The 25088-nt window shown below is 39.6% G+C and overlaps 1 protein-coding gene and 1 long non-coding RNA gene across 7 annotated transcripts in view, besides 2 other annotated features; one reads left to right on the forward strand and one right to left on the reverse strand.

The window, feature by feature from the left end:
• The window catches only part of ITGA2-AS1 (ITGA2 antisense RNA 1), a 59681-nt gene extending 51873 nt beyond the window's left edge, over positions 1-7808 (reverse strand). The window contains exons 1-2 of the long non-coding RNA NR_186583.1: positions 7612-7808; positions 5726-5798 (exon numbers count right to left, since the gene is read on the reverse strand). This is a non-coding gene — a long non-coding RNA (ITGA2 antisense RNA 1). The remainder of the gene's footprint in view (positions 1-5725; positions 5799-7611) is intronic.
• Positions 5014-6213: an enhancer, noted in NCBI's record as "P300/CBP strongly-dependent group 1 enhancer chr5:52283322-52284521 (GRCh37/hg19 assembly coordinates)". NCBI's record gives its function as "activates an origin of replication core promoter dependent on BRD2, BRD4, P300/CBP, MED14 and CDK7 cofactors, with strong dependence on P300/CBP, by STARR-seq in HCT116 cells {active_cell/tissue: HCT116}" and the evidence as "EXISTENCE:reporter gene assay evidence [ECO:0000049][PMID:35650434]".
• Positions 6678-6827: a silencer, noted in NCBI's record as "silent region_16003". NCBI's record gives its function as "represses an Ori minimal core promoter by ATAC-STARR-seq in GM12878 lymphoblastoid cells {active_cell/tissue: GM12878}" and the evidence as "EXISTENCE:reporter gene assay evidence [ECO:0000049][PMID:35858748]".
• Positions 6874-25088, forward strand: part of ITGA2 (integrin subunit alpha 2) — a 105428-nt gene continuing 87213 nt past the window's right edge. For all 6 annotated transcript variants that reach the window (NR_073105.2, NR_073106.2, NR_073103.2 and 3 more), the window contains exon 1: positions 6874-7054. Coding sequence is in view for 1 of the 6 variants with exons in the window: in NM_002203.4 (NP_002194.2) it covers positions 6991-7054 (64 nt within the window). In the remaining 5 variants the exon portion in view is untranslated. The remainder of the gene's footprint in view (positions 7055-25088) is intronic.

The raw sequence follows: 25088 nt of genomic DNA on the forward strand, positions 1-25088 counted from the left end.
CATCTAAAGAAAATGTGCCTAGGCTGGGCATGGTGGCTCACACCTATTCCCAGCACTTCGGGAAGCCGAGGCAGGCAGATCATCTGAAGTCAGGAGTTCGAGAACAGACTGGCCAACATGGCAAAACCCCATGTCTAATAAAAATACAAAAATTAGTCAGGTGTGGTGGTGTGTGCCTGTAGTCCCAGCTACTTGGCTACTTGGGAGGAGGCTGAGGCAGGAGAATCACTTGAACCCAGGAGGCGGAGGTTGCAGAGAGCTGAGATCATGCCACTGCACTCCAGTTTGGGCAACAGAGTAAGACTCCGTCTCAAAAAAAAAAAAAAGGTGCCTAAACGTTCTCTCATTCCACTGAGTAGCATAAACCAGACTGAACTTCCATTTGTTCTGCTCATATCCAAGCATATTATTTCAGCTAGAACAAGACTCTGAAGACAGTATCTGGTAATGAGATTTCAAGCCCATTGAGCATAGCCACTGAGGGTAGTCATGACTAATTCTCAACACTGTGCTTGGCTCAATACTTTGCACATTGTAGATGCTAAATAAATATGTGGTAAGTGAGTGAATGTTACAAAACCGAAGAGATTGCAAGATTCTCAACTTAATCCAAATGACGGATAATGTTAGATATAATAAGAATCTGTGAGAAAAAAGAGATAGAAAGTCTGGAGAAGAATTATGCAGAGAACTCAGATTCTCAACTTAATCCAAGTGAAGGATAATGTTAGAAATAATAAGAATCTGTGAGAAAAAGGGATAGAAATTCTGGAGAAGAATTATGCAGAGAGCTTAGAGACAAATATTAGGAGACCATGAAATAGGCCACCATTTGTGAGCCAGGAATACTAGCTGTTGCTTTCTCATACTGCACAGTAGGAAATGTGAAAGCAGAAAATATTTAGATTGTGATTAAAACTGAGATTCCTGGAAAAACTGAAGTTCAAAATCTTTCTGGGCTCTCCCAGCTTCACTGATTCCATTCTTTTGATGGGCAAGCAAAGTTCACTAGTCTGCCAGTCAAATAGATGCTAATGGTAAAATTGGCTCTGTTTGACTTTTTGATGTTACACATTTGAAATGTGTTTCCATCTAAAAGGACAGGCTCCAATCTAAATGGTACCAACAAAATTACTTCAAACAAAATAGGAGTTCATGTCACTCAAGATGCACTAAAAGTTAAATTGCAAAATGGCTGAAAAGGAGAGGTCTTGGCTTCAGAAAAGAATAATAACTACCTAAAGAACAAAAGTTCGTGTTCTTGGCAGGAAATTTTAAAAAAAGAAAAATCATCTGGTGTGGTCATACAGTGTATCAAACTGAAGAAGACCCTTTCTTTACTGAGTTAAAATTAAGTCTATAGAATCCTAACTGGAGACAAGCCATGGAAAACTAAAGGCACTTGCAAGTTGAAGTTACAGGGCAATGGAAATGATGAGTAATTAAGGAGGAAGTCAGCCTACAGAGAAGACAATAGAGCAGGTACACACAGAGAAGCAAAGCCAACAAGTCATGAATTCCCTAAAAGTTGCAGAGAGTTAATTAGGTTCTTATCTTCCCAGTCTCCACTTTAAGTACCCAAGGGCTATAATTCCTGTCTTTGGGTTCTCAGAAAGTTCTTCATATCCTTGCAATTAACTATTCTTTGACTTGGGCTAGTTTAAATATGATTTATTTTTCACCCCTGAAAAATAACTGCCCTCTAACTGGAACATGCAAGTTTTCCAGACAGAGTAGAGTAGCAGATAGCCATAAGCAGCCTTAATCCTTCATATGACACATTTCTTTAAAAAAGTCTAAAGTATGGATGAACAATGTTTCCCCTTCATTGAACTTTTCCATGTCCTAAGAGATAAAATTCTTTTTTTTTCGGGTTCATCTTAACAAATCAAGACATTAGTGACTAGTTGAAGAAGTATGTTTATTCATTTGGGGAACAAACATTCATTGAGCATCAACTCTGTGTCAGGCTCTATTTTAGGAACTGTGAGTGAAAGAAGTTAATGAGACATGTTAACTTGGAAGTCCTTAAGATTTCCCAGAAGAGAGACAGATATGTCTTAAACGTAGTCTAGTACAAGGACTAGAAACCTGCTCAAATTAGCTTCAGAGAAAAAGAGAAACTATTATTAGGTTGGTCCAAAAATAATTGTGGGTTTTGCCACTGAAAGTAATAGAATGATACACAGATATTTCATGGATGTAAACCCAGGAAGAACAGTCAGATCTCACACAATGGCAAACAAAATTAAAAGACCTAGAACAATCTCTCTCCGTGTCTCTCTCTTTCTCTGTCTGTCTGTCTCATGCATGCACACCTCAGTTTCTTGGTCTCTCATATCTGTCTCTGTTTTTGATAAATGGTGCAGATTGGCTTTTTCTACACTCATTGAAGAAAATGAATGGGCTGGGCATAATTCCAACACTTTGGGAAGGTGGGGCAGGAGGATTGCTTGAGGCCAAGAGTTCCAGACCAGCCTTGGCAACACAGTGAGACCCCATCTCTATAAAAAGAAAAATTAAAAAATTAGACAGGTGTGGTGGTGCATGCCTGCCCAGCTACTCGGGAGGCTGAGGTAGCAGGATCACTTGAGCCCAGGAGTTTGAGGCTGAAACGAACTATGAATACCACTGCACTCTAGCCTAGGCAGCACAAAGCCCCATCTCAAAAAAAAAAAAAAAAAAAAAAAGGCGGGGGGGAAAAAAGAAAGAAAATGGTTGTACAAAGTGAACACAAATTTCCATTTCATGTGATCAGCAAAGATTCTAGAATCTGTATACCATGAATGTAAATCCCTAGGAGATTGATCGAGCTTGGTCAGGTGTTTGGCTTAGCGACAAGGAGGCAGGATTATGTGACTCAGTGACTTCTAGAAGGGGATCATGGAAGACTCTGAGAAAGCCCTATTGGCAGAGCTGGCAAATAGCTTTGCATGTCTGCCACAAGCATGAAAACAAGTAAGGCCAGTCAACCGTAGTTGTGCTAGAATCGAAATATGAATATGATTCATCAGTGTATTGATGGGTCCAGGAAGCTAGGAAATCTAGAATTATTTTATTTGTTTTGTTTGTGTTTAAGTTAGGAGTGTCTCTTTTATTTTGGCCATTATGCACCCCAGCCAGTGCTTAGAGACTTGTGTGTGAGTCAAGCTCAATGGATTCTAAGCTTTACTCACTCATCCCATGGATTCACTGAGTAACATTTGAGAAGCCACTGGTTACTTCACTTCAAAATTACTAGGACTTACCTAGAAGTTCATATTTACCACCCTTTTCAGGTCTAGGGAGAAGAATGTGGAATTGTTAGGAAACTCATTTCAATGTATTATAATAACTATTAATATTTATTAGAAATTTATTTACTAGGTATAGGACTAGACTCTTATAACAAAAATGTATAAGATTTCAGAGACCCAGCATTTAAATGAGAAGGTAGAATATACACATATAACTCAATAATATATTACTCTGTAATACATACAAAAGAAAGTTTATTTGGGGGAAAAAACAAAAACAAAAAAAAAAAGCTAGAGGAAACCAGAGCCAAGAAAGAAGAATGATTAGTTCTCAGTGAAGAAAATGGGAAAGGCTGGGCTAATAATATAGAATTTGACTGGAGCCTTGAAGTAGAATTTGAAACAATGGAAGAAAAAAAGAAAGCTATTCTAAGTAGAAAAATAAGGAATTGACAATGAAGAATGGGAAAGGCAGGCCAGTGAACTCGTGAATTTGGCCTAAACATAGTGTGCAAGAGGGAAAGATAGCCACGGAGCCCACAGAGGTGAGTTGGAGCCAAATCGTGACCTTAAACCCTAGGGTACTTTGAATGTCCTGAAGACATCTAATGATTTTCAGCAGATCAGTCCTGCATTTTTGGATAACTGTGACAACAGGTATAAAAGATGAACTGGAACAGGAGAGAAGGAAGCACAGAGAGATTATATGGGAGTTTGTCACCATGGTGAAAGATCAAAAGGGTTTGAACCAAAGAGAGATTAGCAGTGGAACAGAAAATAGGAGATGGCACAGAAAACCCTAGTAGGGTGTAAAGACAGAATTGGAATGGGATGTTAGCAGGGGGCTGGTGGTGCACCTGGGGAAGAAAGCAGAGGTTTCTGGTTTGGGTGATTGTCTATATGAAAACGGGATAAACAAAGGAGGGCAGGGCATGACGATACAACAGATCAGAAGGAAACACTGGGGAAACTTATCTGAGCCGTGTTCCCCAACAAAACTCTGTCTTGAGCTAAGGAAAAGAAAAAGAGGGGAAGGCCTCACTTCACCCCTGAGTGCTTTTTGGAGTAGGGTCTCTGGGTCTCTCAAGATCCTTTCAAGTGGCCAGTGAAGTCAAAACTATTTTCATAACAATACTGAGACGTTACTGCGTTTTTCACTGTGTTGACATTTGCCCTCATGGTGCAAGAACAAGGATGGGGACTGGTGGTCATTGTATTCTTCATCACTGGGCACTCACAGGAAGAGAAAGGGAGAGGGACACGGAGAGGCCAGCAGATCAATGAATTTTAATGCCACGGAATAGGAAAAACCATTGATATGGTTTCAGATTCCACATTGCAACTTTAAGAAACTACCACTTGTTGAGTTTTGGTGTAGTATCAGGGGATTATCCAGAATTATCTCCTGTTTTTCTAAGTCCATATCTGTGTAACACCAGATTAATCAATATAATTTCACCAAAACTACATGCCGTAACAGATTGGATGCAGAAGCAGATCTGAGAATCCAAATGTCTGTTTTTAAGCCAGATATTTAAAATATTAGCAAAAATGTAAAGCAATGCCACTCTTCTCCCGGATTCTTTCATTTGGAGAAATATAGTTATTTTTCATAAAATGTACATTATTTATGTTCACACATAATAGGATTTTTGTTAAAGGACTTACTGAGTAAAGGGCTCTTGAGACCAAAGAGTTTGAGAAGCCCCAGCTTAACCTTCCATATTTCCTGCTCTGAATGTGGTGTCCCTCACAACTGCAACTAGGCAGGAGAGCACCCTGGAAGGGGTTCTCAAACTACTTTGTCTCAGGAACACTTTATCCTCTTAAAATTAATGTGAGGCAGGAGTTTGTTCTTTGTTTCTAAAAGTTTTGCCTGGCTCTGGAAAATCGTAGCTCCTGACTTATTCTGCACTTCATGACAGTGTAATGTTAATTTGTCCAGTTCTGAGAACAAAAACCAAGAAGGATGCATGTTATTTCCCCCCACCCCCAGAGATAAAACACAAATTCCTGTCTCACATTAAAGGAAGTGTCCTGCCTCCCAAACACAGGTCTGTTCCAAACACTTACTCACATTTCAGTGAGTCAGAAGGAAACAGACAGATATTCATCTCCCTGAAACCTGGCTGACTTCCTTCAAAAAGTCTGTAAGGAGCGTCAAAATCGTGTCACCGGTTAGTGAGCAGCCACCTAAGAGCTCTCAGGTGATAGCCGGAGTTTTAGTAAGCAGGTGAGTACCCCAGACAATTCAGAAAAAAATGCCTTCAGGTGTTTGTCAAGGTGAGTAAGTGCAGCCAGTAAGTGACTGATAAGAAAACAGGAAAGAGCCTGGGACTATATAATTTGGGTTCAAAGGGTATTAGTCATAAGCCATCAGCAGCAACATCTGATGCATACCAATTTAATACTTTAACAATGTGACACATCAGCCCTATCTATAGTAAAGAGAAGAGCTTGATTTTTATGAATTATTAAGTCCTTCCCACCTTGAGCCACTTTGCTTCCTAGAGGCAGTATCTCAGGCATCCCATTCAGCTCATAGTAGCATTCCATGAAGATCTGGAATGATGACAATAATGATGATTATTAGACTCATAACTCCTTAAGCTTGATTTATGAAAACAGTTCGTTCCTTCACAAAAGTAGTCACTGGAAGAATTCTGGTTTCAGCAATGTGCTGGAAATTTGTGGCCAAACTTTTGGATAAAACATAAGATTCAGACAAGAAAAATTAATATCCTATTTCTTAGGTTTTTAACTAAAAATCTCGGATATAGAATGTTCTCTTTCCAGATGTGAGACTGAAATAATGGAAGAAAATGGTCACAGTCTATGTCATGGTGTAATGTAGACAGGGAGAGTCACAAGTGCATGTATGGGCTCTCAGCCTTTTCTCTGGCCTTGAAGTTAATCTCCTAAACTCAGTCATTAAATCAGCTCTTAATTATCTCGGAGGAGAGGAAGTAATGATGATTTCTCTCTCTCTGTCTCTCTGTCACACACACACACACACACACAGCTCTTGCAGCAGGTATTGCTTAAATATCACCTTGGATAATCATAACTTGTGAGCAGATCTTCTTTCCTGATGAGTTAGTTTCTAACCTGGTCATTCTGCGCTTATTTTTGTCCCTTTCTCCACCCACTTAGGAAAAACAGAGAAAGGGACGCACCGCGCAGCCCCTAGGCACTGTGGTTTAGGGCTAGTGCCCTCGGCACCCGCTGCCAGGAGCCGGGCGCTGCCAAGGGCTGCGGAGGGGCCACGTTCTCCCGGGGACTGGGGCATCTCCTGCGTGCTGGCGACAGGCTGCGGGGGCGGAGTGGTGCCAGGGCGGGCGCTCGCCCGTCGGATATGCCCACCCGTCCCGTCCAGGGCAGGAAAGCCTGCCAGGGCGCCATCCCCATCCCCACCGCCTCCAGGCTGCCGGGGCTGGGCCGCTGTACGGGAGCCAAGGTGCGGTGCCCCGCGTGTGGACGAGCCGAGGTGCAGCCCGCGGGGCCGCAGGGCCGGGGTGGGGCGGGGCGCGGCCGGAGCAGATCCGGTGTTTGCGGAATCAGGAGGGGCGGGCTGGGGCGGGCCCTCGGCGCTGCAGGAGCTGCCCAGAAACTTTTCCCTGCTCTCACCGGGCGGGGGAGAGAAGCCCTCTGGACAGCTTCTAGAGTGTGCAGGTTCTCGTATCCCTCGGCCAAGGGTATCCTCTGCAAACCTCTGCAAACCCAGCGCAACTACGGTCCCCCGGTCAGACCCAGGATGGGGCCAGAACGGACAGGGGCCGCGCCGCTGCCGCTGCTGCTGGTGTTAGCGCTCAGTCAAGGTAAGCGGGGATTTCGCTCTGCATCGGCTGCAGGAGGGACCCGCGCGGCTTCCTGGGGCTCGCTGGAGGGATTGGGCGGAACTAGGGAGCGAGCTCCGTGTGTTCCCTCGGATTCCACGTGGACTCGGGCTCCCAGCCACCAGGACCTGCTTGGAAAGAGATACTTCTTCGTTCCCTTCCTGCTATCCCAGGCCTTGCGTCCCCATTAGGCGCGTCTCGCCCTGTCTGTTAAGCACCCTCCAAAGTCATCTCAGTGAGTGCTTTGTTTTAGGTACACACACGCACACACACACACACACACACAGACAGACACGCACGCACTCAAGCATGGACAGTGTGGGGATCCGCGGGTGTCCTGGAGACCGCGAGTCCTGCAGCCCAACTTCCCCTGGCTCAGACAGGTGCCGCGCCTGCCAGAGACCAGGGAAATCCGGAATCCATTGCTGATGGCGGCCTGCAGCTCCCCAGCGCGGTGCTTGCTGGCTTTGCAGAAGCCTGCGAGCCCCAAAATGCTTATTTTTCAACCCAAGGATGTGAATAATGCCTCTATTTCTTACTTGAGGACGAAGCGCTGTGTTTCTTCCCGGGGGGACTTGGAATAAACCAAGCGCCACTTAAATACTTGGCAGAGGGGAATTCTTCCTTCCCTTCTGCCTTCCTCTTATTGTTGTAACATTGTCTATTCGACGAATGTAAACTTAGGCTAGGAAAAGTTCTTTTCACTTCTGGATCCTAGATGCCGCAATGAGAGAATAAGCCGGAGCAGCCGCTCTAACTGTAGTGCTGTGGCAGTGGGGCCCGCCCACCTCCTGAGTTCTTTTACACTAAGAGGAGGAAATAAGGCTGGGGTGGAGAGCTTTTGTGGGACCATCGCCTGAGTACTTTTTCCCTGACCATTAGGCAGAGCTAGAGTGTGGTCAAATTTAAGAATTTTAGTTTATTTGGAGGGAGAAGGAGACACGTTTGTATAATGTAGTTTGAACAGCGATCAAAACAAAACAAAAAAGTTGTCTCTGATTTTAAAGTGTGTGTGTGGTTTTTTTTTTTTTTTTTTACAAAGAAGATAAATATTTCCTAAGCTGTCCTCCTTTGAGACTGACATTCAGCCACTTGCTATTCTTTATTGTGGAGGAATGAATCCTAGTCCACGTCAACCTGGTGGCATTTTCTCCAGGTCAGAGATAAGAGAGAAATAGCACCACTGTCCCCAGCCCGAGCAGAGAATGGGCATCTTAGGTTTTCTGTCTCACCTGTATTGGGTGCTTCAGATACTTTCTCCGGGAACCAGATGAGTTGTTTTGAGGGGCCACCAACCCTAATCTACGGATTTCAGGTAAAGTTGTACTTGACATTGAAAATGAGTCTCTGGAATACAACTAGAGCTAATAGAAATATAAACCCAAGCTTTTCATCTCTCTGTAATTACCCAGTATTAAAATAAGCTGTGGAAACATAACATCATTTTCTTATCTTTGAAATGTTGAGGCTTGTTATGTAAAGAGCAGTGAGAAATTCTTTAATGGAATGTAACGCTGCAAGGCATGAAGTCAGGAACAGAGACTTAACCTGGAGTTAATAAGGACACCTCAGGGCAAGCAAGCAGAGATGATCGAAAATAACATCTGCAAAAGTTTTGTGCATTTATTCCCTCCTCCTACTCCAGCCATTTGTATACTCAAGGAACAGGTTTTCTCTTAATTTAAGATCCTCATAAGAAAGCTCTCTCATTTGTGATATCACTTGAGGTTCCTGGAGAAGCAGCATCGTTTTTTGGTACCATGAGTATCCCAGGTTAACATGAATAAGTGAAATCTCTAGCTCAGTAGTATCTAAAATTTTGTATGGCATTACCCTATCTGTATAAAATTTCTCATTCACTATCATTACACACACACACACACATAACTGTTATAAAATTATAGTATGTACAATTGCATCATATCACATACAAAAATTCAAATTTAAAAGCTATGTATGTGACAGAGCTTCATTATGATGATCTTAAATTAAGAGAAAACCTGTTCCTTGAGTATACAATATGCCGTGTTATGTATATACAATTGTATATACATATATATACCTGTTAATATGTATAAAACACATGTGTGTTTAGACATCTTGTATCATCTCTAGCATACATGCAAACCACTTTAAAAACATATCACCTTCAAATCTTATTTTAACACTTACATTCAAATTTGCTTTCCAGAAACCTTTTCACAGGTGCTTAAGAAGAAAATGTACTCATAGTTTAGTCCTATATTTATCACCTTTCAGTGCTCATTTCTAAGTGCTTAATACCATGAAAATGGTAAATGGGCAGTCTGAGGATGAAAAAGAGAGAACATAAGAGGCCTAGATAATCTATAAACTAAATATAGGCCATTAGCAGAAGGCAAATGTAATTTTGAAATGAAGGCCATCACGTATTTTCTCCAGTATGTTCACAGGTCAAGGATAGTCCTTCCACCCAGGTTCTAGACCACATCTTTTCTTACTATCCCTGAAACCCTGCCCCAGCACTCATCCCTCTTCAGTGCACGTCTTCAAATTCTCTCCCTAATGTAACTTCCCCTCAGTCTGTAAATATTCTAATTTTTCTTATTGTAAAAAAAATATTTCTTTTGATATTTAATTTCCTCCTGAAACATCCTGTACTTCTGGCTTCTGTTCTCTTCCTGTTTTTCTCCTCCTTTCCTCGCTGCTCTCCCGTCATCTCCTTCACAGGCTCTTTCCTTGTTGGTGTTTGCAGAGTTTCATCCTGAATCCTCCTCTTCATTCTGCAGATTGTCTCTGGGCCCATTCCCTGCACAGGTCCCTATCTCCAGCCAGCCTCCCCTTCTGAGTTCCAGATCAGTATTTCCATCAGCCACCAAATTTCTCCAGCTAGACAGTCTGTAAGTAAGCCAGATTCAACATTTCCAAAACTGAATTTAATACGTGTCCTCCAGAATTTTCTCCTCTATTGGCTACCATTGTTTAATGGCAGTATTATTATCACACAAACATGAAAGCCAGGAATTTGTCCCCATGTTTTCAACCTCACAGCCACTCTCCAAATTCTCTTGGCTCTCCTCCCATCCATGCAACTCCTGCCACCCAGTCAGTCCCTCATCTTATGTCTGTATGTAACTTTTAAACTGGATTTTCTTTTCTTATCTCTCCAACCCATTCTCTTCATTTTCACTAATGATATCTTTCTAAGACACTTATATGTTTCCAATTACTGCTTTGTTTCAAATGTTAGTGGCTCCCCATCTCAGGTAGGGTAAAGTGCCAATTTCTTGGCATGTCATAAAAAGGTACATTCTACCTATCCAATCTTTTCTTTACTGTATGCTTTCCTGAACACAAATACACATTCACACACACACACCACACACATGCCCACACATGTACACACTCTAAAGCCATCTATATACACCATTCTTTGTTATGACTACACCTGATCATACCATATTTAGTGTGAAAATATTTTCCAAATACTCCCTTTGCCTTCATTGCATTGTTGCTTTCACCCCTTTTCACTCATCTCTTTGCAACTGACCATTATCCAATGCTAGAAGGGTCAATCCCAAGCAAAATTATAAAGTAGAGAACTTTTACTTTTGCAACAAAAAGGAAAGCTTGAGGTAACCTACCTTTGCTGGGTCCCACCCTAAACCACCTCTCTGGTCTCATCCTCAGCCCCTTAATGGGACTTAGGCCGCCCTCTGATAAAGTAACTTTGCTCCCCTATGGCTTAGCAGTTATACCTGCCCAACCTCAGCTAAGCTTTGCTCTCTTAATACTAGGTCCTGAGCCACTGTTTGACTTAAATTTATGGACTGGGGTTTAGGATTCAGTATTTACAATGGCTCATATATTTCTGATGTATGGTCTGGTTTGGAAGTGATTGCTTAAATATCATCACTGCCTCCCCACTTTCCTAAGATTAAAATTCCAGTGTTACCTACCCCTTACCACCTTGTGGGATGATCACCAAGACAGGTAGATTTCAACATCAAGAGTTAGTGGCTGTGAGCGGCTGTGTCAGTTAAATTCCTTCCGAAGTGGATGATGACTACTCCCTGTCTTCATGTGCTGACAGCCCTGGAGATATTAAAAGGTAGAAGCTTGTTAATGTAAAGAGATGAGCTTCTCATGATGTAATTTTAGACATTCAGCAAAATAAAGACACATGTTCAGTCAATGTGTATAAAGTCAAGAATTTCAGGAAGAATGGGGAAAATATTTGGGGCCAAAAGTGTCCAGGCATCACATAAATTCTACCACTAAAGCCATAAGTCTTGACTACCAACACTGCTCAGCTTGGGATATTAGTAAAAGATTTAGCACAGCATAAAACAAGAGAAACCATGAAAGATCACCGCTCTGATTGGCAAGTGAAAGAAATGGAAGGTTGGTGGAGTTCTTTTTTTCCAGTTGTTCAGTGACCAATCATTTACCAGCAGAACATACAGAAGAGTGGCTCCCTACAGGGGAGAATCCTAGCACTGCAAATCATGAGACAATAGACTCTGTGTATGACAGTGATTCCTATGCCCCTTCAGGTGATCCATAGAGGCTTTATTGATCTGGCTACAGTGAATTTCATAAAACTAATACTTGATAATATTCTTATAAGGTATCTACTTTATGTAAGGCTGTGTGTTAGGCTCAAGGTGGAATCAGAGAAAACTTAAAACATGGCTGAGAGAGGTTGGAGTTTATTTGGAAAAAAATCCAAACATGGGGAAAGGAAATTGTCTCAGCCCTGAAGCATACTTAACCAATTTCAGCCCCTTGTCATCTTCCTTTCTAGCAGAAGTCCATTTATTGAGTTACCATCCTCTTCTGCATAGCTAAAAAATTGAGGTGATGCTGAAGGGTGATTAGGCTGGTCCCAGGCATCTGGGCTGTGTCTGATTTAGCCATGGGCATGTAATGCAAGGTTGACCAATGAGATCTGCTGGGTGACTTATGGGAAAAGAATTTTCATTCCTAAGAGAGATATTTGTTAAAGAAAATATTGTCAAGTTTATATGTGAAATTTGGAACAACTACAGCCATCTTGCAACTGCGATGTCAACTAGCTTAAGGATAAAGCTAGTATATTGGAGTTAGCCTTATGGAAAGAAATGGACTTTGATGTTGTCTTTGAACTTCTGAATTATTGGAATTTAAGACTATAGTATGTCTTGGTGTCTTTAAAATTTTCATATAATTTAAAACTTGGTTATATCATTTTCTATAACTTAGAGAGCTGTAACATCAGTTTCCATAGCATAATAGATGTCATGTGTTCACAATTAATGAGTGGTACAGATAACATGTTGAATTCAGAGGATGGAGAGATATCATTGTGATACATTGAAGTGTCTAGCCTCCTGAGATGTCTTCATGGAAACAGGTAAGAATCATTACAATTTAGATCTGCCATGAAGAACCTCAGAGATCCTGGAGTACAGTTTCTACCTTTTAAAATGGATGTAAGTGATACTAGAAAAGCAAGCAACATAACTAGCAATAGGACTCGTCTCCTAGTTCCTGGGGCAGATGTTTAGGTTCTTGAATAGAATACTGACGCAATGAAAACAGAAGGTCCTTATGCCCACAATGTGGTATTCAAGTTGTTCCCAGAGAGTGAAAGCTGAGTTGCAGCCACCAGACCTTGAAGGGCCTTGTAAGTCATGATATAGAGCAGGGGTTTTATCCTGAGAACAGTAGAAAGGTCTTGAAGGGCCTTGAGCAGGGGAGTGACATGATCAGATGAGGAGAGTGGGTTGGATGGAGGCCAGGTGGAAAGCACCAAGATCATTTAAGAAAGAATATGTTTGGGTTTTAGTTTTAGTTTAGGAGACCAGTTGTGAGATGATGGTGGTAAAAACTCAGATAGTGGCAGTAGGGAAAGAGACTGGAGGATTTATTGGAAAGGCATTAAAGAAGAAGAGTGAACAGGATTTGATGATTGATTTACTATGGAGGTGGAGAGAGAGGGAGAAGATAAGGCTGATGCTTAGGTTTCTGACATGGACAAGTCAGTTGATTTTGTGCCATTCACTGAGATAAGCAGTGCTGAAGGAGAGCAAGTTGGAGGAAAAAGATGATCAGTTCAGGTCAACAGATTGAGTTTGAGACATCTGGATGTACACCTGGATGTATATGTCTAATTAGCAAATAGTTATATGTAGTGGCGTTAGGAACAGGCAGGAAAGTAAGATGGGGATAGAGATTTAGGAGTCATTGGCACCTAGAGAATAACTGAAGATAGGACATTAACAAGATGAGTCAGGCAAAGGGACTAGAAGAGGGCTTTGGCCATGGCTCAAGGAACTGCTTTAGAGGGTCAGGTGAGGAAGAGGAAATGTGAAGGGAGAGAGTAGGAACAGCTGGAGAAGTAGAAAGACAACTGCAAGAACTGGGGTAGCACAGAACTATTTGGAGAAGGAAGAGGTAGTGAATAGGGTCAACTTCTTCAAAGAAGTCAAGCAAGTTGATAGTCTTGAAGGGCAGTCTACATGGAGTGAAAAAAGAGAAATCAGAACAGAGCGGCCAGAGGAGTAATGGAAGATGAGGAAATGTAGAGAGTGTGAGAAAGTTTGGTATGATAGTAAAAGGGAGGAGAGAGTAGCAAGAGAGGTAAAATGGGAGCAGCTGCCTTTAAGCAAACATGGGAAAGGCTTGCATAAAAATTATTATAAGGAGATTTTTTATTTCTGTTACTTATGGTGCTGCATGGTACACTTGTAATGTTTTAAAATTGCATTGAGGTATATGTATGTGGCAGAGATTCATTGCACAAGAGAAACTGAGGGAAGGGGAGGAGCTTTGATGACTATACAAAGGATATTATCAGAGAGAAAGGAGAGGAAGAGAGTTAGGTGTCCAGCACTAGTAACAGCTCTGGCAGAAAGGAGCCCCTGCTTAGAAGCTGCAGGTTATCATGGGAAGGTAGGCAAAGCAGACCCTGGGCTATGAAATAGAGAGGATATTAACTAATCAGGGAAAGGTGTGAAGTTGATCCAGGTATGCAAAGAGGGAAAGAAAGCAGAGGTATGGAAAAAGGTACCTCCCATCCTCCAGAGTGGCTGCTTAGATTGATGAGCCCATGTATACATTTTGGTTTCAAACATCTTTTCACACTAATGCAGTTATGATTAATAAGCTGTTTTTAGGGCATGTAATATATAACACTCCAATTCCAGTGGCATAATTAATATCAGTGCGTTAGTCAGATTTCCTAAAAACCAAACAAGTTCTTTTAGAAATATAGATTTATGTTTCTCCAGTTAAGCCTTCAATTCCCCTTATTTCTATCTAGTTTAATAAAGATCCCCAAAATAATCTTGTTAGAAATAACAGTCTCATATATCACAGAGAAATAGTGTTGTCTCTGAAAGATTTTGCTAGTAAAATGTGAAAGCTGTTTGCCCTGTAACTTAGTGTTGTTTTCAAAGCATTTCAAAACATTTTCATTGAATCATAAATTAGAAAAGAAGTTGATGTCTATTCTTAATTTTGTTAGTCATAATTAAAGTGCTTATATTCAAGTGTTTTATCCAGTCTATGCCTGCTAACTCTTGAACACGTAATTTACATTTTAGAACCAGTATAAACTTGAACTGCATATTTGGCTAATGTTTTCAGCTCCATAGACTGTTGGGACAGTTAATGATTTTCAAATATATTTTACTTCCTTTGAGAGACTTGTCTGTTCTGTTGCCCAAATAGGTAACAGAAACTTTGCAATTCTGTCAGCAAAGATTCCTGCATTATTATCTTGTTCTGAAAAGGTGACTGAAATTCTTCCATTTATTAAAGTGTCTAGAGACAGTTTTTGCTACAGAAGCCATATATAACTCCTGACCACTGAAAGGCTTTCTGTATAAAAATGAAGTTAATTTTTAAACAGAGCAATGGAAATAAAAGAGTGTTCAAAAAATGGAAATAAAACACAGCAATGGAAATAAAAGAATCACTGTATTGTCAGTGCAAGAGATTACTTCATTGTGTTTTGAAAGGCGAGCAAAGCTATTGCACCGATGGACGCCTTGAACATTGGCAGTTGTCATTCTCCCGGATTCATTTGAAGGTGGCCTTTGTTTGTCTTTGTGCAGGCCTGATCTCATTTCCATGGATACCATGTAGAAATGCAGACTGAACACAAGCTGGCTTCGGGTCAGTTCAGTCAGACAACTCTATTCCAAATTGTTTACCAGTTGCCTTCGAGTCCTTTAGCCAACAGCTTCTTAGATGCTTGTTAGAATAGAGACCCCAAACCATCCTGGATTTCATAACCTCTTCTAAACCATATTCTGAATGCTGGTGCATAAAAATAGATATTTCAAAATAATTGACTTAGTGTTCTATGGTGGAAGAGGGGAAGGAAAAACTTAGCCTTGGAAATTGGGGCACTTTTATGTAATCTTTATTATTTTTTCAGTATAAAAATTTAATAAATAGCCCTAATGAGAAAATCTAATGCCACATTGAAAAATGATTAAAAATTTATGGAAGTAGTCATGGTAATTAAGAAATGCCTTTATTATTACACAGTATTTAATTTTTGCCCCTCAAATAATCTGCCTTTAATATATTAGTGTCATTTTATTATTTTTTTTGCTATGGTTCAAGTGAGCTATCACCTTAACTCTTTTTAAAAGTGAAGTCCCAGACCGAGTGCAGTGGCTCATGCCTGTAATCCCAGCACTTTGGGAGGCTGAGGTCAGGAGTTCAAGACCAGCTTGGCCAACATGGTGAAACCCTGTCTCTACTAAAAATACAAAAAAATTAGCCAGGTGTGGTGGCAGGTTCCTGTAATCCCAGCTACTCGAGAGGCTGAGGCAGGAGAATTGCTTGAACCTGGGAGGCGGAGGTTGCAGTGAGCCAAGATTGGTGCCACTGCACTTCAGCCTAGGTGACAGAGCCAGACGCTGTCTCAAAAAAGAAACCCAAAAAACAAACAAACAAAAAAGGCAGAGTCCCATGAGCTCCTGCCTTTTTTCATGTCCTCTCTCTCTTTCTGGAATACTCTTTAGCCCCAGCCTCCATTCTGTGCATCGTTTAAATCTTAATTTCACTGAGATTCATGCACCCTAGGAACCCTGCCAATCTTCTAATTCAATTTAGGTATCACTCCTCACTTGGACCCTTCCATAGCAATGTTACATTCTATTTCAATAACCCTTTCAGAACTTGGCTATAGTTCTTACTGACTGCAAGCTGAGAAGACAGGCCCATATCATCTTCACTTGTATCAAGGGTTCTTGGCACCATTTTATTCAATGAGTGATGAATCTATGAGCCATGTATGACAGCTACTGTAAGGGGATTAAAGACACACTTTCTGAATGAAGGCCAAGCTGAAAAATTTCTACTTCTTTCCAATTAGTATATGCAAAAATAATTCTATTTGTAAGTGTATCTGAATTTGCTAAAATATTCCTTTAGTTGATAAATTTGTTTTCACTTCTTTGACAGAGTTTGTTTGCTTTTAAAATGTTTTTCCTTTTTCATAACATGTCTAACTAGGATAGCTCTGTTGACAAGTAACAAGATGAATGAAAGTATTAGGACAGTACAGATATCATTTTTTCCCCAAACCCTTTTCTGTTCCCCTTTTCTGTTCTCATAAAGCAACACCATAATTTATCTTCAGCTTGACTCTCTCTCCCACCGAATACATTCTTTAAGATTACCTTCTGTCCTATTTATCATTGTATTTCAGGAGCCTGGCTCATAGTAAGCACTCAGAAAATGATGTATTAAAAAAGAAAAAAAATCAAAATTCAAATACAGTAAATTTTAAAACTTTTATTTATTGTAAAATGTAACATACATGTAGACAAATGCATAAAAGGTAAATGTACAGCTTTTTAGGGCTTGGGTTTCATTTTACTCTACTTAGAATTAGTAATTTTGTTTGTTACTATTTCACGGATGCTGCCACAAGACATGAAACTTCTGGGTAAGAGACAAAGGTCTTTATTACTCATTGCACAGCAAGTAACTTGATCAGCATATCTGTGTTGATACCCTTTGCCCACCAAGACACAGAGGGGCAACACAGAGGGCCCAGATAGATGCCTAAACATGCAGTAAGTTGCATTACAGAAAAGGAACACTGAGCATGGTGAATCTGCTGTTTTGTAGCAAGTCAGAAAGCCTGTTCTTTGTCCCACAGGGAGATGTTACCTCATTCTTCAAAGATGCTCACTGCAAAGACATCCCTGAGAAATGCTATGGTAAACAGTCATCAGGGTCTTGCATCTCAGGCATACTCAGCAGATATGTAGGTGTGTTAGATCTCCATGGAAGCATGTCTCCCAACACAGCTTAACACATAATTTTTTAAAATGTTGTGTAAGCACAACTCAGATAAAAAAATAAAAATAAAAGATTTCCAGGATCCCAGAAGTCCCCTATATGTTCTTTTCCAATCACAAATCCATTTCTCTAGTCTTATTTTTTTGGCAATAATTTCCTTGCTTTCATTTATACTCCTACTAGTTAAATATACCATCTACACTCAAGGGTTTAATTTTGCTAGATTTTAAGTATACACACACACAATTATACAATACATATTATTTTGTTTTTGAATTTTTTAACATTGCAATTGTGAGATTAATCTATATGTTGCACATAGATATAGTTCTTTTGTTTTCACCACTGTACAGTAAATAGTATAGTATTTTTATCACACAGTTCTTCATCACCAGATTGCTAAGAGATTTTTTAAAGTGACAATTGAGTATTAATTTTATAAATATTTTTCTGCATCTATTGGTTATTACATAAATTTTTCTTCTTTATTAATGTGGAAAATTACATTGATTGATATTAAAATATGATGAAAACCTGGTATTTGTGGTATAAACCCAAGTTGATCCACATGTTCTTTTTATAGGTTGCTGGATTTTGTTTAGAATTTTTGTATTCATGTTCATGAGTGTGATTATCCTATAATTCTTTATGTTTCTTACTCTCTCTACTGTATTGTCCCTCCATATGTCTGCCTACACTTCATTCTGGTTAGTTTCTTTTATCCTATATTACTGTTTACTAATTTTTGTTTCAACAGTGTGTATTCTGGAGTTAAAACATTCATTGAGTTCTTAATGATGGTTATTATATTTCGCAGTTTATGAGTTTCTATTTGGTTCTTTTCTAAATTTCTTTGCTAAGATGTTTAAGTTTAGCTTGTCCCCTTCACAACTTTTGTAAAGTTAGTGCTGGTTCCCATTTATGTTGCTTTCTTTCCCCTGGTGCCTGCTTATCTTAGCTAGACGTTATATTAGAAAAAATTATTTGACAAAATTGTTTGAGGCTTGGGTGATATTTTTCTACATAAAGCATTTTCTTTTTTTTCTTTTTCTTTTTGTTTTTTTTTTTTTTTTTTTTTCTTGATGAAGTCCAGCTCTGTTGTCCAGGCTGGAGTGCAGTGATGCAATCTTGGCTCACTGCAACTTCCAACTCCCGGGTTCAAGCGATTCTCCTGCCTCAGATTCCTGAGTAGCTGGTAATACAGGTGTGTACCACCATGCTGGGCTAATTTTTGTAGTTTTAGTAGAGATGGGGCTTCACCATGTTGGCCAGGCTGGTCTCGAACTCCTGATCTCAAGTGGTCCACCCACCTCAGCCTCCCAAAGTGCTGGAATTACAGGTGTGAGCCACCACACCCAGCAATAAAGCATTTTCATTTGCTTCTATTGAGACAATACCCTAGAAGTTTTGCAGTGGCAGTGTGATGACCAATGAGGTTTATCTGAGGTGCGATTATTGCTAATTGAAGCAGTGCCCTGGAGGTACTAGAATTCCTTATCAGTTTCATACAATTTCAGGGCTTGATTTTTTATAGGTTACCCAGACAATTCATTCAAGGGCTGCTTTACTTACGGTTCACATGTCATGTAAGGAGCAGTGGTTTTGAGCATAAACTCTATTCCTGGGATTTATCAGATACCCCACTTTTGACAGGTCTTGGATTTCACTTTTCAGATCCTTTTTAGGATTGGCAAATCGCTTTCTTCACTGTCCTCTAGCAAGACAAAAAGTGATTCAACTCCCCAGCACTTTGGAAAGCCAAGGCAGAAGGATTGTTTGAGGCCAGGAATTTGAACCTAGACTGGTCAATATAGCGAGACTCTGTTTCTACAAAAGAAAAATTTAAAAAATTAGCCAGGAATCGTGCTGCATGCCTGTAGTCCCAGCTACGCCGGAGGATGAGGCAAGAGGATCATTTGAGCCTAAGAGGTCAAGGCTGTAGCAAACCTGGATGACAGAACAAGGCCCTTTCTAAAAAAAAAAAAAAAAAAAAAAAGTGATCCAACTGTCTGCCTGAGTCATTTCTCTGAACTTCTTTCTTCACCCCATCTTCTTAGCAATTTGATGCTTTAGAAGACATCTTAAATATCTTGTTTTATATTTCTTGCAATTTTTCAGTGATCTTCAGTGGGAGAGTTGGTTAAAATAACAAAGTCTTTTATTGCCAAAGGAGAAAATCTGGAGTAGTGTTTTAGAGTCCCCTTTTAAAAAAATATTGATTTTTAATTTTCCAAATTCTCCTCATACTATTTATTGATGTGGCATTTTAACTGATAGAAAATTAGATTTTTTCAAAATAGATTAAAACAATATTCAATATTGGTTAGTATTCTAAAATTTTAATTTTATAGTATAAAACATTTTTGACCAATAAATTCAACTCACTTTTTAATATATATCTGTATATTTGCTTGTATTAATTACTCCCTTTTCTTTAACTGTGAAGTAAATGTGTCCATTGAAATACTAAACTTGATTAATAATTTTATCTTGTGGATTTTCTTTATAAAGTTGAATATTTAAATATCTTTAGAGAAAAATGACACATACTAAAATAATTAACAGAAAAAATATTTATATTTCTTTTGATATTTACATGTGATTATATGAATATAATCTTTTCATAGATATACTCACTATATGCAAATGAATACTGCACTTTTATCACTTAATATATTTTGTATATACTTTTCCATGTGAGTTTTATATTTATAACTTTAATGCATCCTGCCATGCCATGGTTAACTATTGTCCCATTGTTGGATATTTAGGTTGTTTCCTGTGGGATATTTTGCCCCCCACTGTAAATAATGTGGCTATAAACATCATTGTACAAGAAGTTTTTTCTTTTCGTTTTACTTTTGGATCATTTCCAAAAGGGGCATTACTATGTCAAAGAGTGTGTGTGTTTTTTAGCTCTTGTTGCATATGGAACAGTGTAGCCATCTGTAATGTGGAATTTACCAATTTCATCAGCATTAGATTTTCATTTACTTCTTGAAGTTTGATGGATATAAAGTGGTGCTCCATATTTATTTCCATTCTTTTTATTCATGAGGGTGCATTTTTTCAAGTTACGATTTAAAAATGCCTATCTTTTGAAAAAAAATATTTTTAGATTAGGGTATTCTAGAAATTTGAGCTAGAAGAAACCTCAAGATATCATCTAGTTCAGTGTCCTGCTTTATTCTTATGATAACCAGCCTTGAAGTGACTAAAGACCATGACTCCAACCTGAACAGAACACTCCAGCCAGTATAGTGTCCATCATTTTAAGCTACCCATTGGGGCTCCCTCTCAAAATCTCTTTGACAAACTGCCCTTTGTCTTTTATTCCCCACAGGCTGATTACAATCCATTTTCACTTGAGGCATGGCAATCTTCTAGTTAAAATTTCCACACTTCCATGGGTCAGAACCCTTTAAGGGAGAGGGAAGACATTCTCTCTGCCAGAGCACTTGACTGTGAGTAACTGAATCTGTAGACTGTTCTGGTTACCCCTTGACATGTAACCAGTCACCCCAAAATTTAGTGATATGAAACCACAACCTCACTTATTATCTCTCATGGTGTCTTGGGTCAGGGCTTTGAGAATGGCTTGGCTGGACCATCTCACTCGAAGTCTCTCACATACTGTTAGAGGGAGGCAGCTCTCCCTCTTCCTGTGGTATCCTCAAGCCTCTCCACATGGTGCCCTCTGAGTAAGTTGACTTCTTGCATGGTGGGTAGGGCACCAAAGGCAACCATCCCAAAAGAAACTGGCAGAATGGATGGGCTTTTATAACCTTGGCTCAGAAATCACATAACTGCATCTATTCATCAAAGCAATCACAAAGTCTCACCTAGATTCAGGGGGAGGAGACTTAAGATTCCACCTATGGATGGGGAGTGTCAAAAGATTTCCAGACATATTTTTAAACAAAGTAGTAACTTAATAAACTTAATGGTCCTCGACCATTCATTGTTTTCTTTTTCTTTTTCTTTTTTAGAGACAGAGTCTCACGACGTTTGCCCAGGCTGGTCTTGAACTCCTCAGCTCAAGCGATCTGCCCTCCTCAGCCTCCCGAAGTGCTGGGATTACAAACTTTTGAGAGACCATGCGAGGCCCCATTTGTTGTTTAGACCAGTGTTTGGGCATGGATATTATTGACAATTGGGGCCAGATAATTTTTTTTGAAGTAGTAAGGTAGGCTGGGGGTGTCTGGTCTGTGCATTGTAGGATATTGATCATCAGCCCTGTCCTCCACCCACTAGATGTTAATAGCAATACACTACTCCAGCTGCCCTAGAGTGACAACCAAAAATATGCCCAGACATTACTAAATGTCCTCTGAGGGATAAAATTACATCCAGTTGAGCACCACTGCACTAAATGAACATATATTAAGCACATTTAATGTTCATGGCAACATAAAAGAGAACTCCAACTCTGGAGAGTAAGTTAAATCCCATCATTTTTCTGAGTAACTTTAGATAAGCCATAGGCAAACAATTCCCTACCTTGTTGGGTCATTGGGAAGATCGAAGGGGATTATAAGTGAAAAAGTATTTTTCATATTGTAAAAGCATATGGAATATTATTTAAAAAAAAATCAGTACACTTGGTATGCATCCATTTTTATCATCATTCATTTATTTAAGGGACCTTCTTAAGGGACTTTTATGGAGTGCCTATTGTATACCCACAGAGTGTCAGGCCTGGGGCACTGGAGGATTGAGGCAGCCAGCCCCCTTCCAGAAGCTCTTCTTTCCATTTCTAGCATCACCTGGACAGGAGAATAGTAGCACCTAGATCCTTAGTGACTGTAAAGTTTGACACTTAAAGCAAGGACTTTCTAAGAAAATTGCATCTTTCTTTTTTTAATAAAAGTAAGGGGAAATGTTATGCCACTGCATTCCAAAAGCAGTTGTAAGGGTCCTTTTGTGCTTTTGGTTTTTGCTCTAATGTTTTGTTTAAGGACTAGAGCCATAAACCAAACATTGCAGAACTTAAATCTTTACACAGTGTGTGGTCATTTCCAAAAGGCCTACAACTTCTAAGTTTAGTTGCTTTGTTTTTTTTTTTTTTTTTTTTTTTTTTTTTTTTTTTTTTTGGAGGGGGAGGAGAGGACTTTCTACTTGCATTACTGTCCTTTCAACATGAAGACAATGCTATTGGAAAATGAGATTTCCTGTGGTGATGTATGTGTTCAAAAGATCTAATGTGACCTATGATCATTTCCCGTTGCCATACACATTCTGAGTAATGATGAGATACACTTTAGAGTTTGAAGTCTATTTGCTTAGGTTCAGAGTCAGGGTCTGAGTAACCCCACTTCCTGTTTGTGTGACTTCCTGGAGGGTCCATGGAAGGATAATATTTTCTTGGCTTTTGTGGTGTGCTTCTCGTGTGTGTCAGCAAAATGCAGCAACGTGTCATCCTCCTAACCATTAGACAGCAATTTTCAGAAATGTGAATATAAATTTGCTCAGGATATACTTTTTATGTTAGAGATGAAAGTGGGGGCCAGGTGGGCAGATCACTGGAGGTGAGGAGTTTGAGACCAGCCTGGCCAATGTGGTGAAACCCCATCTGTACTAAAAATACAAAAATTAGCCAAGCATTGTAGCAGGTGCCTGTAATCCCAGCTAACAGGAGGCTGAGGTAGGAGAATTGCTGGAACCCGGGAGGTGGAGGTTGCAATGAGCCAAGATTGCACCACTGCACTCCAGCCTGGGCAACAGAGCGAGACTCTGTGTCAAAAAAAAAAAAAAAAGATGAAAGTGGGATAATAAATTGCTATGCCTTATTAAATTTCTCAAGAAGTGTGCCCCCCTCAGTAGTGTATAATGATACTAATCGTAAAAACAAAAAAAATCTACTAAGTACTTACCATTTGTTAGACACTGGGTTGAGAGTTTTATATGCATTGTCTGACCACAATGAGGTAAACATATACATGATATCTATTTTACAGATGGGAAAGGAATGGCTTATACAAAACAAGGAACTTGCTCAAGGTCACAGTACTATTCAAACCTCAGAGGCCAAGCTCTTAGGCACTGCGATATACTACTGGCTTTGCTCAGTAAATGGACCTTTCAGCTTAAAAAATGCTGTACATCACAAACTAACACAGAAACAGAAAACCAAACACAGCATGTTCTCACTCGTAAGTGGAAGCTGAACAATGACAAGACATGGACCCCGGGAGGGGAACAACACACACTGGGGCCTGTCGGTGGGGGCGAGGGGAGAGAGAGCATCAGGATAAGTAGCTAATGCATGCTGGGCTTAATACCTAGGTGATGGATTGATAGGTGCAGCAAACCACCATGGCACACGTTTACCTATGGAACACAAACCTGCACATTCTGCACATGTATCCCAGAACTTAAAATAAAAAGTTACAGTTGTGAAATTTTTTAAAAATGGTGTACATCTCTTAATGGTATTAGCATACTTCTGCCATGCCATCACCCCGTAATATAGTCAGTCTTCTTTTTAGGGTTCTCCTATAGCTAGATTCTTGAAAAAGTTAAATGTTCTGTCAAATTCTAAATAGAAAATACAATGTGTTTATTTGCATGAACATATGTGTATATAGGTATGTATATTTTAAATTAATCTGTCTTTTAATTCATTGATGTATATACCTGCACAGTAGCCTGCATTCAAGAGGATTTATTAGTTAATTAAACTGTTCTTTATTAATCTCCTATTATATCCGTAACTTATTGTTAGGTGGAAAGGTGAAGCAATCAGTGTTTATTCAGTAATTATTATTGAACCACGACCATGTGCAAGGTATTATTCTAAGTGCTGGGGAATATATCAGTGAACAAAATAGACACAGCCCCTCTCTGTTAGGGTCAAAGGCATATTTATTATAAAACAAGTGAAGCCGAAGTTTCAGGGGCCCTCCCTGTGCACTTCCCTTCCTCTGTTTTCACAGTGCCAGATATTTTCATTCAACATGCAAAAGGTTAAGGTCACCGTCTCTTTTCTATCCTAACACAACATATTTCAACAACAAAAACATAAAAAAAAATTCATTAATCAACTTCATCAATTCAGAGGTTCTGGATTAATCACTATAAAACAAAGCATGAGGTGCCTTGAAATGCTGTAGCTCCTATGCAGACTTAGAAAACAGTCCTAAACATGTGCATGGCATCACAAACAGGGAGGTGTGAAAGTGAAAGGAGCTTTTCCTAACTACGAATAATGATAATTTTAAAAATTCAATGTAGCATGCTAGAAGAAAAAATGAATTCTCTTGTTCTCTTTAGAGAATAGGACTTAATAAAATTGCTGTCATGTGAAGAGGTGATATAGAGCAGAGCCCCAAACTAGGAAAAAACGAGTTGCATAAGTGTGTCAGGCAATCAGTTGGATTTCCAGGAAGTACACTACAGTAAGAGCTGCCAATAGTGAGCATCAAAGAAGTTGGAAGAAAGGTATGCACAGGCTAGGATGGTCAGAAAAGACCCTAACCAAAATTTATAGAGAAGTGGCTTGTGAACAGGGTATAATAAAAGAAATACTAACTTCAGTTATGTCTGTTTTTTCCATATATTGCCTCAAGATATGTGAGACATATCCTGCTAATGAGCAAGTTAGGTGACAGGCACTGACTTGCTAAATACACACAAAATATGCTATTTTGAGAGAGAGAAACGGGGAGAGAGAGAGAAAAAAAAAAGAGAAAGTTTATCCTTTCACATAGAAGCAATTTAGGAAGAA

The sequence above is a fragment of the Homo sapiens genome, chromosome 5, assembly GCF_000001405.40.
Source record: "Homo sapiens chromosome 5, GRCh38.p14 Primary Assembly".
NCBI classification, from domain to species: Eukaryota; Metazoa; Chordata; class Mammalia; order Primates; family Hominidae; genus Homo; species Homo sapiens.